This window comes from Homo sapiens, chromosome 9 (assembly GCF_000001405.40).
Source record: "Homo sapiens chromosome 9, GRCh38.p14 Primary Assembly".
Classification (NCBI taxonomy): domain Eukaryota; kingdom Metazoa; phylum Chordata; class Mammalia; order Primates; family Hominidae; genus Homo; species Homo sapiens.
The window spans coordinates 69,781,189-69,799,461 of NC_000009.12; the positions used below are offsets into that span (position 1 = coordinate 69,781,189).

Below are 18,273 nucleotides of genomic sequence, written 5' to 3' on the forward strand. Positions count from 1 at the left end.
GTTTGAGGAGGCTAAAGATAGGACCCCAGTCCCTTCTGGCTTGTAGGGTTTCTGCTGAAAAATCTGCTGTTAATCTGATAGGTTTTCCTTTATAGGTTACCTGATGCTTTTGCTTTTAAGATTCTTTCCTTTGTCTTGACTTTAGATAACCTGATGACTATGTGCGTGGGTGATGATTGTTTTGAGATGAATTTCCCAGGTGTTCTTTGAGCTTCTTGTATTTGGATGTCTAGATCTCTAGCAAGGCCAGGGAAGTTTTTGTTGATTATTCTCTCAAATATGTTTTCCAAAATTTTAGAGTTCTCTTCTTTCTCAGAAATGCCAATTATTCTTAGGTTTGGTTGTTTAACATAATCCCAGATTTCTTGGAGGCTTTGTTCACTTTTTAAAATTCTTTTATTTCCTTCATCTGATTGGCTTAATACAAAATCCTTGTGTTTGAACTCCAGAGTTCTTTCTTCTACTTGTTTGACGGTATTTCTCTAAGTGTGTTTTTCATTTCCATAAGTTTTGATTGTTTTTCCTTTATGATATTTATTTCTCTGGAGCATTTTTCATTCCTATCTTGTATTTTTTAAAGATTTCTTTAAGTTGGTTTTCACCTTTCTTGGGTATCTCTTGGAGTAGCTTAATAATCAACCATTTGAATTCTTTATCTGGTAATTCCGAGATTTCTTTTTGGATTGGATCCATTGCTGGGGAGCTAGTGTAGTCTTTCGAGGGTGTTATAGAACCTTGTTTTGTCATATTACCAGAATTACTTTTCTGATTTCTTCTCATTTGGGTAGACTATTTCAGTGAAAAAATCTGGACTCCAAGGGCTGCTGTTCAGGTTCTTTTGTCCCATGGGGTGGTCCCTTGATATGGTACACTCCCCCTTCTCCTAAGGATGGGACTTCCTGGGAGCCAAACTGCAGTGTGTGTAATCCCTAGGACAACTACCAAGAATATAACTCAAAAACTAAATACTGTAGGGCTGGGTGTGGTGGCTCACACCTGTAATCCCAGCACTTTGGGAGGCCAAGTTGGGTGGATCACATGAGGTTAGGAGTTCGAGACCATCCTGGCCAACATGGCAAAACCCTGTCTCTACTAAAAATACAAAACAAAAAAAAAATTAGCCAGGAGTGGTGGCGCATGCCTGCAATCCCAGCTACTCCGGAGGCTGAGGCAGGAGAATCATGTGAACCTGGGAGGTGGAGGTTGCAGTGAGCCGAGATTGCACCACTGCACTCCAGCCTGGGTGACAGAGTGAGACTCCATCTTAATAAATAAATACAGCAAAAGAAATGACAAGGTAACTTAAATGGTACACATAAAATAACTATTTAACATAAACAAAGGCAGCAATGGGGGAATAGAAGAACAAAAAGACACAAGGCATAGAAAACAAATAGCAAAATGCAGCAAACATAAATCATTACTTTTCAGTAATTACATTAAATGTACATAGAAGAAACTCTCCAATTAAAGGACAGAGATTGACAGAATAGACTTAAAAATAGATCCAACTGTATACTGTCTACAAGAGTATACCACTTAAATTACCTTGACATTCCTTTTACTGTATTTATTTTTTGAGTTATATTCTTGGTGATTGTCCTAGGGATTACAATTGAAATTTAATTTTATAACAATCTATTCAAAATAAGAACATAATTACAATCATATTAAAAAAAACTTTGCTCCTACAGATCCTCATCTCCTTCTCCTTCCTTTGTGTTGTTATTGTCATACAAATTACATCTTTATACATTATCTGTCCAACAACATTGACTATAATCATTCCTTTATAGAGCTGTTTTAAAAATTAGATTTTATAAAAAAGAGTTCCAAACCAAAAAATACATGCATGCAGCCTTTTATATTTATTTAGTTACCTTGACTGGTGCTCTTTATTTTTTCATGTGAATTGAGTTGCTATCTAGTGTTCTTTCATTTTCTCCTACAGGATTCCCTTTAGTATTTTTTGTATGGCAGGTGGGCCTCTGACAAATTCTCTCAGTTTTCTTTATTGGGAAAGTTCTTAATTTTTTCTTCATTTTTGAAGTATAGTTTTGCTGGATGATGAGATTCTTGGTTGATAGTCTTTCTTTCAGCACTTTGAATATGTCTGCCCACTGCCCTCTGACTTCCATGTTTTTGATGAGAAATTGGCTGTAAGTTTTATTAAGGATACTTTGTGCATGATAAGATGCTTCTTTGTTGCTGCCTTCACATTTACTCTTTGTTATTGACTCTGGCCAATTAGATTATAATTATATTGTTTTACAGATATATACATATATACATATGTATCTGTATATATATACATATATAATTATAATGTTTCTAGTTGTGGCTCTCTTTGAGTTTATCCTACTTGAATTTTACTGAGCTTATTACATGTGCTGATTAATAGTTGCATCAGATTTTAGAAATTTCCAGTCATTCTTTCTTCAACTATTCTTTCTACACCTTTCTCTTCTCTCCTTCAAAGACTGCCATGTTGCTTATGTTGTTATGTTTGGTGATGTCCCACAGGTCTCTGAGGCTTCATTTATTTTTCTTCATTATTTTATTTTTTTGTCCATTGGATTTGATCATCTCAATTTATCTATCTTCATGGTTCATGATGCTTTCTTCTACCTGCTTCAGTCTTTACTTGACCCCATCAAGTGAAACTTTCATTTCTGTTATTGTACTTTTCAAGTCCAGAGATTTTTGTTCCTTTTCTATAATTTCTATCTTTCTCTTTTTTAAAAAAATTTCTGTTTGGTGGGACATTGGTCTCATATTTTCCTTAAGTTATTTATTTGTTTATTTATTTATTTATTAGACAAGGTCTTGCTCTGTTGCTCAGGCTAGAATCTGGTGGCTCAATCATAGCTCACTGCAGCCTCAAAGCTCTGGGCAAAAATGATCCTCCTGCTTCAGCCTCCTGAGTAGCTAGGACTATATGCCTGTGCCACTGTGCCTGGCTAATTTTTTAGATTTTGTGGAAATAGGCTATCACTATGTTAGCCAGGCTGCTCTCAAATTTCTGGCCTCAAGTTATCCTTCTATCTCAGCCTCCCAAAGTGCTGGGATTACAGGCATAACCATTGTGTCTGGCCTCTTAAGTTCTTTAAACATGGGTTTCTTTACTTACTTTAACATATTTAAATTAGCTAATTTAAATTATTTGTCAGGTGCAGTGGCTCACACCTATAATTCCAGCACTTTGGGAGGCAGAGTCTGGTGGATCACCTGAGGTCAGGAGTTCGAGACCAGCCTGGCCAACATGATGAAACCCCATCTGTACTAAAAATACAAAAATTAGCCAGGCATGGTGGCTCACATCTGTAATCCCAGCTACTCTGGAGGCTGAGGTATGAGAATCAATTGAACCTGGGAGGCAGAGGTTGTAGTGAGCCAAGAGTCCACCACTGCACTCCAGCCTGGGTGACAGCGTGTGACTCTGTCTCAAATAAATAAATAAATAAATAAATTAGTTGTCTGGTAAGTCCAACCGTTGGTTTTCCTCAAGATAGTTTATTTTTACTATGTTTCTCCTGTGTATGAGCCATACTTTCTTATTTCTTTGCATATATTATAATTATTTTTGTCAAAACTTGGACATTTAAAATAATATAATATGAAAACGCTGGAAATCAAATTCTTCCTCCTCTGTAGGATCTGTTGTTGGTTGCTGCTTATTGTAGTAGATAGTTGTTTATTTGGCAACTTTTCCAAATTGATATGGTAAAGTCTGTATTCTTTGTTATTTGTTGCCAGTGAAGTCTCTGCTTAGCTAGGTTAGTAATCAAGTAATGATTGGATAGTGATTTTCTTAAATGCCTGCAACCAATAAGACTCCAAGTCTTTTCTGAGAGATTTTATATATTTGTGGTGGCATGCTTTCAACATTCATCCAGGCAGTTAACAAAAAGTTAAACTTTATGTTCTCCTTGCAAAGAGCCTCCATTTTAGCTAGAAGTGAGAGGGGTTGAACCTTCTCAGGATTTTCCTGAGTATTTACAGAGTCGTAAATATATGCTCTTCCTTCTAGATTGCAAGAATATGTTGAAGCTTTTCAGAATCTCCTACAGACGTCTAATTCCCCAGACTTTCCTTTTAACCTTTTTGGCTAGCCTGTTGTTGCCCCAACCATTGTATACAATTTTAGGCAATTGCCCTTAATTGTTTTTGACAAGTGCATCTTATATGGTTTGAATGTGTGTCCTCTTCAAATCTCATACTGAAATATAATTTCTGATCTTGGAGGTGTGGCCTAGCGGGAGGTGTTTCAGTCATGAGAATAGATCCCTCCTGAATGGCTTGGTGACCTCCTATGGTAATGATGAGTTCTCATTCTGGTAGTTCATGTGAGAACTGATTGTTTAAAGGATTCTTGCACCACCTCCTCCCTCTCTTGTTTCTTCACTTGCCATGTGACACACTGGCTCCCCCTTTGCCTTCTGTCATGATTGTAAGCTCCCTGAGGCCTTACCAGAAGCTGAGGACATGCTGGTGCCATGCTTGTACAGCCTGCAAAACCTCTTTTCTTTATAAATTACCCAGTATCAGGTATTCATTTATAGTAATGCAAGAAAGACTAATGCAGTCCCTAAGGATATGGCTGTTTACACTGAATGAGCTCTGAGTCAGATTAAATAAAGACAACTTTGTGGATGTGGTCTTCCAGGGAACCACCAACAGATAAAAACAACAATCCTCTGGGAACAGGGCTTTGAAGGAAGCTTAGCTCCATTCTTCCCTCTACAGGCTGCTGGTTTTCACCATGATTGTGAGCTGTTCATTTTCAAGGTGCTGAATAGCTGAGAAGGAAGAATAGGAATAGGGTAAGTTACAACAACACAAAGCTCACTGTTCTTATCAAGTTTCAGTTGTTTTTCTTGAATAAATATTTCCTATATTTTTGCATTTGATTAATTTCTAGAATTCTGAAAAATTCAGAAATGTCTGTCAAGTTTTGCACTGTTGCTCATCGCTTTTAGGTACAGAAAGAATTTTTGGAGTCTTTACTCGCCATTTTTACTGATGTCACCTAGCTTCATCCTTATTCTTGAAAGGTATTTTCACTGAGTTTAGAATTCCCATTTGGCAGTCTTTTTCCCCTTGCGTATTGAAGAATATCTCACTGTCTTTTTGACTCATATTTTCTCTGCTGAGAAGTCAGCTATCAGCATATAACTCCTTTGAAAGTTATCTGCTAGTTGTTTTTTTCTGGCTGATTTTAACATTTTTCCTTTTGTCTTTGGTAATACATAATATCAGTATGACATTTCTAGTTATGGTTTTATTTTTATTTGTCCTGCTTGGAAATCACTAGGCTTTTTAAACTAAAGAACTTGTGCATTTAATCAGTTCTATAAAACTCTCAGCCTATATATTTTAAAATATTGTCTCTGTACCCTCCTCTTTTTCCTTTCCTTCACATTAAAAGAATGTTGGAATTTTTCACCTTTTTTCCATGTCTCTTAGCATTCCTTCCATATATTCCATACTTTTGTTTCTTTTTGCCACATTTTGGATCATTTTATATGTCCTGTCTTTCGTTTTACTAAATTACTCCTTTGCAATATTTAATGTACTTAGAGTTTTAAATTTTATTATTATTTTTTAATTATACAAGTTCTTTTTTTGTTTTTCTACAAATATACTAGGTTTCGTTTTAGAACTCCTTGTTTTTTGAAAATACTTTCAGAGTTATCTTTTTATTTGTTCAAATAGACTAAGCATAGTTATTTTATAAACTGTATATAATAATTCCAATATCTGAATTCTTTGCTTATGTATTTCCCTAAATTCTTGTTTTGGTTATTTATTGCTCATGATATTTCTGCCTTCTGTGCTTATTATCCCTGAATAAATATTTTGGGGGATTCTTGAAAGCCCAGGATGAAAAATGCCTTTTTAATTAAAGGATTTGCTTTTGCTTCTTCCAGGTACCTGGTGCACCACCAGTCTGAAACCACCTTTAACCAAGTTCACAGTTTGGGTTCCCTGGATGTCTTAGTCCGTTTATGCTGGTAAAACAGAATACCACAAACTGGGTAATTTTAAATGAAATACATTTATTAGCTTATGGTTCTGAAGGCTGGGAAGTCTGAGAACAAGGGGCCAGCACCTGACAAGGGCCTTATGGCTGTGTCATCTCGTGGTAGAAGGGCAAAGAGAGGGTGAGAGAGATCAAGAGACTGAACTTGCAACCTCAAGCCCTTTTATAATTGACATTAATCCATTCGTGAGGGTGGAACCCTCATAACCTAAACACCTACCCTTAGGCCCCACCTCTCAATACTGTTGCATTGGGGATTAAATTTCCAAAACATACTTTTGGAAGGAGACATTCAAACCATAACACTAGATATAAACCATTAACAAAAAATTTGTGTCAGGATCTTAAGTTCTCTGGGATATTTTTCCTTTACCATTTTTAGCCTCCTATACTCTACAGTGTGCTAGAAGTAGGGATGGGAAATGTAATTTTGTGTTACATGTAAAGAAAATATTAACATTTTACATGTTTTTAAGGGGTCCTATATTTTATAGACAGGATTGATTTCTAGATTTTTTTTTAATTTTTGGTCTTTATTCTCTTATATGTTTGCCAAGTTTGTGAAGTCATATTGTCATTGGGTACAATGGTTCATTTGAAGTACACATAAAAAGGAAATTTGTCACAAAGTCGCAAATCACTAGTTGATGGATTTTTAGCTTAAAAAAAGAGAGGCATTTAAGAAAACTTACCATACAGCACATTAAGACAGCAGAGATTTCTATCCAGAACTTACCCAATGACCTTACTGAGGCGTTTTTTATTTGTTTCATGTCATTCACTAATTCCTAATTAAACACAAGTCGATTTTTGTGTATGCATTATAACAGTGTACTTTATTTGCAGAAAAGATGTTTCATTCTTAGCAATATAGGAAATTCTGAAAAAATCTTGGGCAATAAAATAATAGAGGTGTTTCTTTGCTCAATAATTTAATACATATAAGCAATGATTTAGGAACTATAGAGTTTTTAGCTTAAGTAACTATTAACTATTGGTGAGGTATTATAATGAGGGATGTTAATTTACTTATATGCTTAAACTACAGTGAAATATTTTATTAATGATATAGTGAATTACTGTAAAGAAAACTGTAATATAGAATTCTGAAGTTCTTATTCCCTTATTCCATTTTAGACTGAGTGACAAAATTACCATCAATACATGCAATGTTGCTCAGATTTTTAAATCACATTTTGTTTCGTTAATTTATCCAACTTTTCTTATTTTATAGGGAGCCACTGTATATAAAATTTCCTGTATGATAGACTTACGAAGACTTACTTAACATTATATTTTTAAATTTTATAACAGGCTATATTTTCACCATGATAAATTGAATTCTGCATTTGTGGTTTCTCCATGCTACAAAGAATGTATGTAGTGAAGCTTAGCTTGTCATATGGTGAACTGGTGAAAATGGCATCATGAAAATGGTGTCAACATTGTTCTCTAATGAAAGAGAAAAAGAGTAGACAAAAAACCTCTCATGGGAGTATAGAATACTTTTGGGGAAAAGATTCTGAAAAATCATTCAGCTTCTACAGTTTAGTTATAATGAATAGGAATCATGAATATTGAATATAGTATGACTTCAAAAAAAATCTTGCTTCCACTTTTTTTACTGCTGCTTAGCAAAGAAACGTATATTGAACTAAAAATATAAGCTAGTCTGTTCAGATGTATCTTATATTTTTAATGTAAGGTGGAAAGCTGGCTTACAGAACTTTTTAATGCACAAGAAATAATGAATGCTACAAAATCGTACAGACTCATGGTAATTATTAGCTTTAAAATTCCTGTATTTCATAAACTCTAGTTAAAATGACTTTGTGTTACTTGGGCAAATTTAATCTTCTGCTAATGAATATGTTCTTTACAAGAAAGTTTAAATGAAATATTTAAAATTCAGTTAAGATGGTTTAATAATTTTTCTCACATTTTTAATGAGATTTAATTTTGACCAAGAATAGTTCCGACCACATTGTACTCACAGCCCCCCAAAAGTCCATATCCATTTATATCTGTGTCAGAGTGAGTTAGATTTTTGTTGTCATTAATGACTGACGTATATTTGAGCCATAGGTTTTTGGTTATCATTAATGACTGATATATATTTGAGCCACCAGACCATATACAAATAATATAACCAAGTAATGTAAGTTTTCTTATAATCCTTTTTTTACTATTACAATCCTTAGGTAAGTCTGTAAGGCAGTGACAACTCAATACCAACATCAACAACAATACCAAGAAAGGATTGTTCCTTCTTACTGACTCTAACAGAGCTGACAGCTCTCTTCTCTTTCAACAAGAAAAGCGTTATTTCATGAACCTTTTTTAAAAAAGAATGAGTGAAATTATTTTAAATATTAATTTGACACCCTTCTTTAAGACTTATAGAAAAATTATTTTATTAAGGAGAGTCAGTCTGACTAGCAATAAACCTAAATTGTAGAAATAATTTCAGTATGATATCGTGTCTTTCAAGTACTCCGTATTTGGTAGCTGGAACTATTAAATAAGTATTTTTAGCTTGATGCAATAAAAAGATGAGGTTCATTTATGGTTAACACTATCTATCTTCACACAAATAATCTATTTGATGAAGTATTTCAATTGAGCAATATTTGTTGGGGATCTGCTGTAGGCATGGCAGTCCATCGGGGTGACAAAGCTGACCAAAACCTAGAACCTGATCCCAAAAACTTGTTTTTAGAGCAGATTAACCTTATCCACCGACAGTCTTATTAAGATGTAAATCTACTTTGCAAAGCAATAATTTCTTTTGAAATAGAACAAATGGAAACTTTTGCTTGTCCACTGATTGAAAGATTAAAAGCTCTTAATCAGTACTATTCTAATAAAGGAGACATAGCTTGTTTAAACAAAATGTATTTCAGACATTTCAGAAATCATATTTGGAAAAATACAAACTGCTCTCTGACACATTTTTGACTGTGTAAACTAGGACTCTTTCATTTCAAATTATAAACCTGAATTGGAACCCAATGCCATGCAATTCAATTCCTTTGTTTTTATTATAAGAGTAGTTAATTGATGCCTGTAATCCCAGCACTTTGGGAGGCTGAAGTGGGTGGATCACCTGAGGTCAGGAGTTCATGACCAACCTGGCCAACATGGTGAAAGCTTGTCTCTACTAAAAATACAAAAATTAGCCAGGTATGGTGGTGGACACCTGTAATCCCAGCTACTCGGGAGGCTGAGGCAGGAGAATCGCTTAAACCTGGAAGTCAGAGGTTGCAGTGAGCCAAGATTGTGCCACTGCACTCCAGCCTGGGAGACAGAGTGAGACTCCATCTCAAAAAAACAAAAAACAAAACAAAAAAAAGAGTTGTTAATTGCATGAGTAGCCAAATGTAGATTTTAGGACTAAGATGCCTTTTCAAAAATCTAGATTTGTCCTTCTAAATGCAAGCACAGAGTTTTACAAGCAAGCTCTCAATTCATTCCTGTAGCAGCCCCCTCTTATGTGCTATTCCACTTGCTGAGGTTTCAGTTACCTGTGGTCAACTGTAGTCCAAAGATACTGCAATATTTTGAGAGAGAGACAACATTCATATAACTTTTATTACAGTATATTGTTATAATTGTTCTATTTTATTACTAGTTATTACTAATCTCTTACTGTGCCTAGTTTATAAATTAAACTTGATCATAGGTATGTATATATAGGAATAAATATTGACATATAGGGTTTGGTCCTATCCATAGTTTCTGGCATTCACTGGGGGTCTTGGAATGTATTCCCCGTGGATAAGGAGGGACTACTGTACTGTCTTTAAGACAAGAACTTAAGTCTTTAGAATAAGTAATTTTCTAGCCTAGGATATTTCAAACTTTAAAGAACTAATAGAGGAGAAGTTTTTAAAAACAGTGTACATTATTCTAGATAGCTATTTGCTGGTAGATATGACATTGGAAACCCATGAATTGCCTAGATAGGGAAAACTGGTTTTCTTGAATTCCTAGATTCTTCCCTTTCTTACCAGCATTTAGATGGACTGTGCTGCAAGAAAAATAAGGGAACTAACAAGCTCCATGCAGTACTTTGAGGCATCATTTGCGTGTGTGTGTGTATGGACATATTTTAAGATCACTCATATAGGAGAAAAGTCTGTCTCATGCCATTGACCTTCCCTCTTTCACACCTCAACATGGAGAAAGGATGGGAAGGGAGATTACAGTTGAAAGTGTTTCTTTCTGTGTCCTATTTTTTAAATTTCTTTTTGTTTCTGAACATTCCTTACATAGCAGGCTATGCAAACCCTAAGCTCTGAAGAACACAGAAGGTGAGGGCACAGACACATTTAATGAGCTGTTTTGAAGAATAACTTATTTTTTCTGGTAGATGACTGATTTCATGGTTGTGATGATGGTGGTTGGATAATCATATTAGGTTTCTGACTATTTTGAATTTTTAAATTCATGTATTTATTCAACAAATATTTGTTGAGCACTAACTGTGTTCCAGCCACCGTACTAATCACCAAGGACAGTTCTTATGGAGAACATAATCTTGTAAGTTTTTTCTCACCTAAGAGTTTTTTCATTATTCTATTAGTAATTATGCACCTTTTTCCATTGTTTCAGTTCATTTGCATGCATTTACTCATGTTAGAATCCAACATAATTATGTAAACACGTAGTTGGGTCTTTTTTCTTTTTTTTAATCCACTCCGACACAGTGGATTACAAAGTAAAAGACAGAGACCACTGTCTTTTAATCGCTGTATTTAGACCACTGATGCTTAAAGTTAGAGCACTAATGTTTAATGTGACTGATGTAGGTGGATTTTTATCTACCATATTTGTTACTGTTTTCTATTTGTTACCCTTGTTCTTTGCTTTTATTTGTTTATTTTTTTGTCTTTCTCTGCTTTCTCTGGTTTTAATGGAACATTTTATATGATTTCACTTTCTCTCCCCTCTTTAGTATTAGTTTGCTAAGGATATCATAACAAAATACCATAGACTGGGTGGTTTAAACAAGTGAAATTTATTTTTCTCACACATCTGGAGCTAGAAGTCCAAAATCAAGTAGTTGGCAGAGTTAGTTTTTTCTCAGGCCTTTCTCTTTGTTTGCAGATGGCTGCCATCTCGCTGCGTCCCCACATGGTCTCTCCTCTGTATGCACACATTCCCAGTGTCTGTTCATGTGTCCAAATTTCTTCTAAGGACGTCAATAATATGAGATTGGCACTCACCCTAATGCTCTCAATTTAACATAGTTGCCTTTTTAAATGCCCTATCTGCTAATCCAGCCAAATTCTGAGGTATTGAGGGTTAGGTACAAAACTCAACTTATGAATTTTGGGGGGAATACCATTGAGAATATATCACATATCAATTATACTTCTTTTAAAATTTTTTAGTGGTTGTCCTAGAGTGTAAAATATATATTTACAGCTATTCAAAGTCTACTCTACTTCTTAAAGAATTGTGCAAGTGACCGGGTGCGGTAGCTCACGCCTATAATCCCAGCACTTTGGGAGGCTGAGGCAGGTGGATCATTTGAGGTCAGGAGTTTGACACCAGCCTGACCAACATGGTGAAATCCCATCTCTACTAAAAATACAAAATTAGCTGGGCATGGTGGTGCGCACCTGTAATCCCAGCTGCTTGGGAGGCTGAGGCAGGAGAATTGCTTGAACCTGGGAAGCAGACGTTTCAGTGAGCTGAGATTGTGCCACTGCACTTCAGCCTGGGTGACAAGAGTGAAACTCCATCTCAAAAAAAAAAAAAAGAAAAAAAGAAAAAAAAAGAAAAAAGTATGGTGCAAGTACCTCATAACAGTATATTCCCAATTTGTCCCCCATCCCTTATAGCATTGCTGTTTTTTATTTTACTTATACATAAGTGATAATCACTGAATACAATGTTGCTATTATTATTATTTTGAACAAATTTAGCTTTTAGGTTAAGAATAAGAAAAATAAAAGATTTTATTTTACTTTTATTTTGTTCCTTCTCTAAGCCTTCTCCTTTGTGTAGATCCAAGTTTCTGGCCTATATTATTTTACTGCTCTCTGAAGAGCTTCTATTAACATGACAAATTCCTTCAAATTCTATTTGTCTAGAAAGTCTCTATTTCTCCTTCAGTTTTGAAGGATAATTTCACTGGATACAAAATCTAGGTTGGTGGTTTTTTTTTTGTGAACACTTTAAATATTGTATTCCATTCTATTCTTGCTTGCATGGTTTCTGAAGAGAAATCTGATGTAATTCTTATTCTTGCTTCTTTATAGGTAACATGTTCCCCCCCCCCCCCCGGCTTCTATCAATATTTTATTTCTGTCTTTAATTTTCTGCAGTTTGAATAAGAAATATCTAAGTTCAGATTTTTTGGAATTTATCCTGCTTGTTGTTCTCTGAGCTTCCTGGATCTATGGTTTCGTGCCTAACATCAATTTTGAAAATTCTCAGCCATTATTATATCAAACCTTCCTTCTGTTTCTTTCTCAATGTATGTTATGCCTTTTATAATTGTCCCACAGATAAACATACAATTTCAACATCTTGCGATGTCCAAGAAATATATTTTCTCAAGAATAAGGGAAAACCGAAAGTTGGATTTAGGAACCATGGTTCTAATTCATTTGCTCCTCCATTTATGTATTCAACTTGTATTTTTATTGCATACCTACTTTGCGTTGGTTCTGACAACCTTTATTTAAAAACATAGCCTTGCATGCATTATGTCCCTTCAGCATTTCTCAGCAGTGACAACTTCATCACTTTGGTAATGAACCAGAAATTAATAATTCTATCTTTTGTTGTTCATTTCTAGAATTTAACAGAAACAAGTTCGAAGAAAAACCATGTAAAAGCCTGCAATGATATTTTCACCTTTTTTGTGGAAAGAAATAGATACAGAATTGGTAGTATTTACTATTATGGCATTTTGCTTTTGAAGGAGAAGAACCTGTATGGTCATGAAAATCCACCAAAAAATAAAAAATACAAATGACTATGCGAGATTTGCCAGTTAAACACAGTTTTTTAAAATGAAGAGGACATCTAATAAAGGGGAAATATGTTCATACATCTTAATGACTTACCATTAAAAGTACCAGTTTAAAAGAAGAAAATGAACACCACCACAGATGGCTTAATTTTACCCCTCGAACATTGTTCTTTTTGCCATATGGAATCACGCATGAAAAGCAGCTCATTCTGCAGTCTATAATAGTCCTACCAAAAGGGAAGCCTTAACAGAACAATATGTATTAATAAGAAACACAAACACAGAATTGCTTAATATTTTGATTTATGTTTTTGGCTTCAAAATTGTTGCCTTGGGAGTGCTTTTGATATCTGTGAATATCCCTTCATTCTAAGGGGATAAGAAATACTATGGCTATGGATGACACTCTCTCTGTAACCAGGCAAAGATAGCATAATTTTCTAGTGTTGTACTTTGCGAAAGAGCAGCTGTAAATATTCAGGGGTATCTTGCTTTATGTAATAGAATATCTCTGAAAAGCCTGGTTACATGTAACTCAGCCATTACATTCAAAAAATATCTTAAATGTAGTATGGGAAAGCTAAAAACAGCCCGTAAAGTCCTTTCACAGTCTATAGAAATCACTGATAATGTTTTTCTCTTGCTGGCTTTGATTTTTAAAATTATTGATACTATTTGAAAAACATCATGTTTTATTCAAAGACAAGGTGCTCTGTATAACTACAGTTACTTTATATGATGGAGGTCTACATTTCTAACTTCTAATGCTTTTAAAAATGTCAAGGTGGCCAGGCGCAGTGGCTCATGCCTGTAATCCCAGCACTTTGGGAGTCTGAGGCAGGCAGATCACGAGGTCAGGAGATTGAGACCATGCTGCCTAACACAGTGAAACCCCATCTCTACTAAAAATACAAAAAATTAGCAGGGCGTGGTGACGGGCGCCTGTAGTCCCAGCTACTCGGGAGGCTGAGGCAGGAGAATCGCTTGAACCCGGGGAGGCAGAGGTTGCAGTGAGCTGAGATCATGCCACTGCACTCTAGCCTGGGAAACAGAGTGAGACTCTGTCTCAAAAAAAAAAAAAAAAAAAAGTCAAAGCATCTCTATTTACTGTTCTGAAAAATGCAGGCTCTAGAGGTGGACTCCTTGGTTTCAAAACGTAGGATCTACAAGTCACTAACTCTGACCTCGTCTATAAAATGCCTCAGTTTTCTATAAAATAACTATAATATTTCAAAGATTTTTTGTGCATATTAACTAGATGATGCATGGAAGTACTTAGCACAATACCTGGCTTACTAGATCTTAATCACTCTCATTTGTCACATGGTTTGAAGGGAAAAATACAGATTGCAGAAAGCAATTATCATATTGGTATTTAACAATATGCATACAAGATATTTTTTCCATTTTTTTAGATTATAAAAGCAAGAAATGCCAATGGTATAAACAAAATCAAGTAAACTAGTACAGAAAGTTTTAAATTTAAAGTAAGGTCTTATGCTACTACATGTATGAACATTGAAAACATTTTGCTAAGTGAAAGGGGCCAGTTACAAAAGACCACATATTATGGTATCTATTTATACGAAATATCCTGAACATATAAATCTATTTAGACAGAAAGTAGATTAGAAGTTGCCAAATGTTGAGTGGGAGATGAGAGTAGTTGGAGGGTGGTGGCTAAATCGGGTGGGGTTTCTTTTGGGGGTGATGAAAAGCTTTAAAATTGATTGTGGTGATGGATGCACAACTTTGTGACTATACTAAAAGTCATTCATTTACACACTTTAAAAGGGTAAATTGTATGGCATGTGAATTATATCTCAAGCTATTTTTTTTAAAGTAAAGTCTGCCACTCTTATTCCCACTCTTAGGCCCACTGCTCATAGTGTCTACTTTTAGTTCTTCTGGGCGTTCTCAACTTACCAACTTTGGATTGTATGTGTTGACTTCCTATAAGAATTCTTCCTCATATGTCTACCTCTGTCTGTGGATCTTCCTTTTCCTGATTTTTAAAATGTTTTTATTTGTTTTCATATCTGATCCTCCCTCTCTCTCCTCGTCTCTCTCCACATGCATACGACACACATCCAGGAAAAAAATCTGCCGATAGTTGTATTCCAAAATGTAGTTTATCTCTGAGAGGTAGTATATGGATAATTAATTTTTCTCCTTTTATCTCTCTGTATTTTCTAATTTTCAGTAACTATTAGGTATTAATTATATTATTAAACATAACTACATCAAATGTTAAGGATATTGATGAAAATATTTTTAAAAATATTTTAAATACTTGCCTTCCTAATTAGGCAGAGTTCTTAGACTATTTTCCCTTTCCTTGATTATGTTGATTATGCAGGTTATACCTGCAGGCCAAACTTCCTCCTTCCACAACTTTCAGAGTGATTTTTCTAATACACAAACATGATTGTGTTAATTCTATGCTTAAAAGCTTTGACTTGCTCGTTATCACCCCCTGAAGACATATCTGGATTCTTGCTCATGACACAGAAGGCTGTCATAGCCCAACCTAACCTACTTTTTTTAGAGTTAATTCTTAGTGTTAGACCCTGTGCTAGGGTTGCAAAGAAAAATGAGAAATTGATATCATATCCTTGGAGAGTTCACAGATTGTGAACTGGTTCTGCTTCTTAGTAGCTGAAATTGTCTGGTTAGCACATAGAACAGGAATCACTGTGGCATTTCAGAATCTTGGGCTATTATGTCCAATGAACAAATAAAGGCTATTCACCTGTCATCTGTTTTGGTCCAAATAAAGGAGTCCAGAATCGGAAAGAGAAATGGCTATGAGGAAAATAAGCCTTGAAAAATAGTGGGAAGACAATGAGGCTCTGCTAATAGTAATGCCACTTTTACATATGCATTTGGAGTGATGAGTAATTATAACCCATATTGTATGGACTTTTTGAGTCTATAGAGGCTTTAATGCAAAAATAACCATCTCTTACCTATCTACTTTATTTAGCACTCAAAACAACTTCATGAGATCTTACTGGTATCCTCAATTCACAGATAAGGAATGAAATTCTAAGAGATCAAGTTGCTGACTCAATATTACACACCAAATTAAATCAGACTTCCTTCTGTCTTCAAATTCTGTTATCATGGAGAAAACATCAGGGTTTACTCTTTGGTTTAAGAGCAAAGAATTGGAAAGAAGTGGGATATTAGTTTCGAGAACTAAAAGCCACCATAAAGAAATGTCTTAGAACTATCTATGCTCCTTATTGTGACAAAAACCACAGCAAGAGATCATTATTCTGCTTACCTTGTGCCCAGCACTCTGCTAAATGCTTTACATATACTATTGAATATATTTTTGAATTTAATTCTTAGGAACTCTATGAGGTAGCTACTGTCTTTTTCTCCATTGTCTAGATGAGGAAAGCAAGGCTTAGATAAGTGGCTTAGCCTAAAATCTACAATAAGTGGCAGAGCTGGGACTTGCACCATAACAGAGCCCATGTTCTTCCCTTGAGCTCCACAACTTACTGTGTGCTTTCCTTTGAGAGAGTGGTTAAAAGCAATATTTTTTCTTTTTAAAATCCAGAAAAGCTGTTTCCAGAATTTTGGGTGTCACACATTAGCTTTTTGCAGTTCCTCTTCTCTCTCTGGCTCAAAGCCACCCTGATTAAACAGATGGAGGGTGTTTAAACAGATGGGTGGATATGATGACAACTTGTTTCTGCTATGATTTTCCTGTTGCCTCGACCTTATCTTCTTAATGCTCTAATATTACCAAGCCATTGCAATTGTTTGTAACCAGCTTATCATTTGGCCTTATTACAAAATCTGAGAAAATGAGAAATTTATGGTAAAGGAGTAGAAAGAATACCAAAATTATAATTTGAAAACATGATTTCCAATGTTAGTTCTGACCCTTTTTAACTTTTTTGAGGTGTCTATTTTCCTCACTTTAAATTGTCAATTTCCCCTGACACATAGAACACATAGAAGATCCTAAACTGATTAGTAATTTATTAAAAACAAAACAACCCAAAACACCTGTATCCTGAATTCTCTCACTTTTAAATCAACTTCTACAAAAACTCTCAGAGTACTGCACAAGAAGCTTTTTAAAATTTCATTGATTTACCTCTGGAAATTGAGCCCAACTCACTTCTGCCTCTCTTTTTTTAATTTACTGGTTTTAATTTTTGAATATAATATAATTTTTCTTTAAAAAGTGGCAAACATAGCAATCTCTTTATGAAAAAATAGATGTATAAGATATACTCAGATGGAAATGACTCTTGAACACATTTTCCCTCTTTTTCAGTTCATGAATTATGACAGGTAAGTAGGTGTATATTCTTTAATCATTATAGAAATCCTGATTGCCAATTTCCCATCCAATGCATAGTTCAAGAAGAAGCCATGAATACTTCCTTGTCTCAGTCCTTCCTGCAGTTTTTGATTTTGTGGTTCCAGATAGCATTCTTGTTTCTTGCAGCAGGAGTTTAAAGCTGGAATCCCTTTGACCTTGGCCACAGCAAACAGAAGATTAATGAAATGAAGCTGAATGACAGTGCTGGCCCAACATTAGCAACATTCATCTTTTCCCTTCAGTTATTTTACCACTGGGTCTCAATTCATTTCACCTGACTCTTCGACTCTCTTCTACTTCTCATGACTCGGGGAATTCGTTTACATGTTGGACTGGAAATTTGGATTTGGTGGTCATCAGTGTGAATGTAGTAGCTATGAGTGATGATGATGTCATCCAAGGAGAGTAAATAAATGTGAAAGAGAAGAATGTCATCAATAGGACAAAGCCCTGCCTGAAAGCCCTCATTTCTCATGTCAGCTTTAATGTATTGCCTCAATAATTTTTTTGTCAGTATTTGAAAAGTTTTCATTAGCTAAATATATAAATACATAAATAAAGCTGACATTTACGGTAAAACTAAAAGGCTTAAGATCCTTGAAAAGAATGAGTGGATATACATACCTAATCCCTGGATGAGAACCCTTTCTAAACATGTCACCCAAGGCAGAAAGTCTTAAGAAAAAAGATTAATAGAAGGTATATCATCTGTATCTCTATAGCTATTAATAGAAGATATATATCTTCCATTAATCTATGTATCTTCTATTAATAGAGATAGAATATGTAGAAGGTATGTATTTTCTAATTAATAAAAATACTTAGATGGATAAAACGATGTAGATTAATAGAAGATATATACATGGAAAAAATAAATATATCTATCCATAGATG

The 18,273-nt window shown here is 34.9% G+C and overlaps 1 long non-coding RNA gene across 3 annotated transcripts in view; it reads left to right on the forward strand.

Annotated features, from left to right (window-relative positions):
• The window catches only part of LOC105376076 (uncharacterized), a 38,952-nt gene extending 21,094 nt beyond the window's left edge, over positions 1-17,858 (forward strand). For 2 of the 3 annotated variants that reach the window (XR_929908.2, XR_929909.3), the window contains exons 2-4: positions 4,747-4,823; positions 5,931-6,038; positions 12,855-13,616. This is a non-coding gene — a long non-coding RNA (uncharacterized LOC105376076). Of the gene's footprint in view, positions 1-4,746; positions 4,824-5,930; positions 6,039-12,854; positions 13,617-17,505 lie in introns of those variants that run through there. The other variant, XR_929910.3, reaches the window with a different exon arrangement.
• The last annotated feature ends 415 nt before the right edge of the window (positions 17,859-18,273 follow it).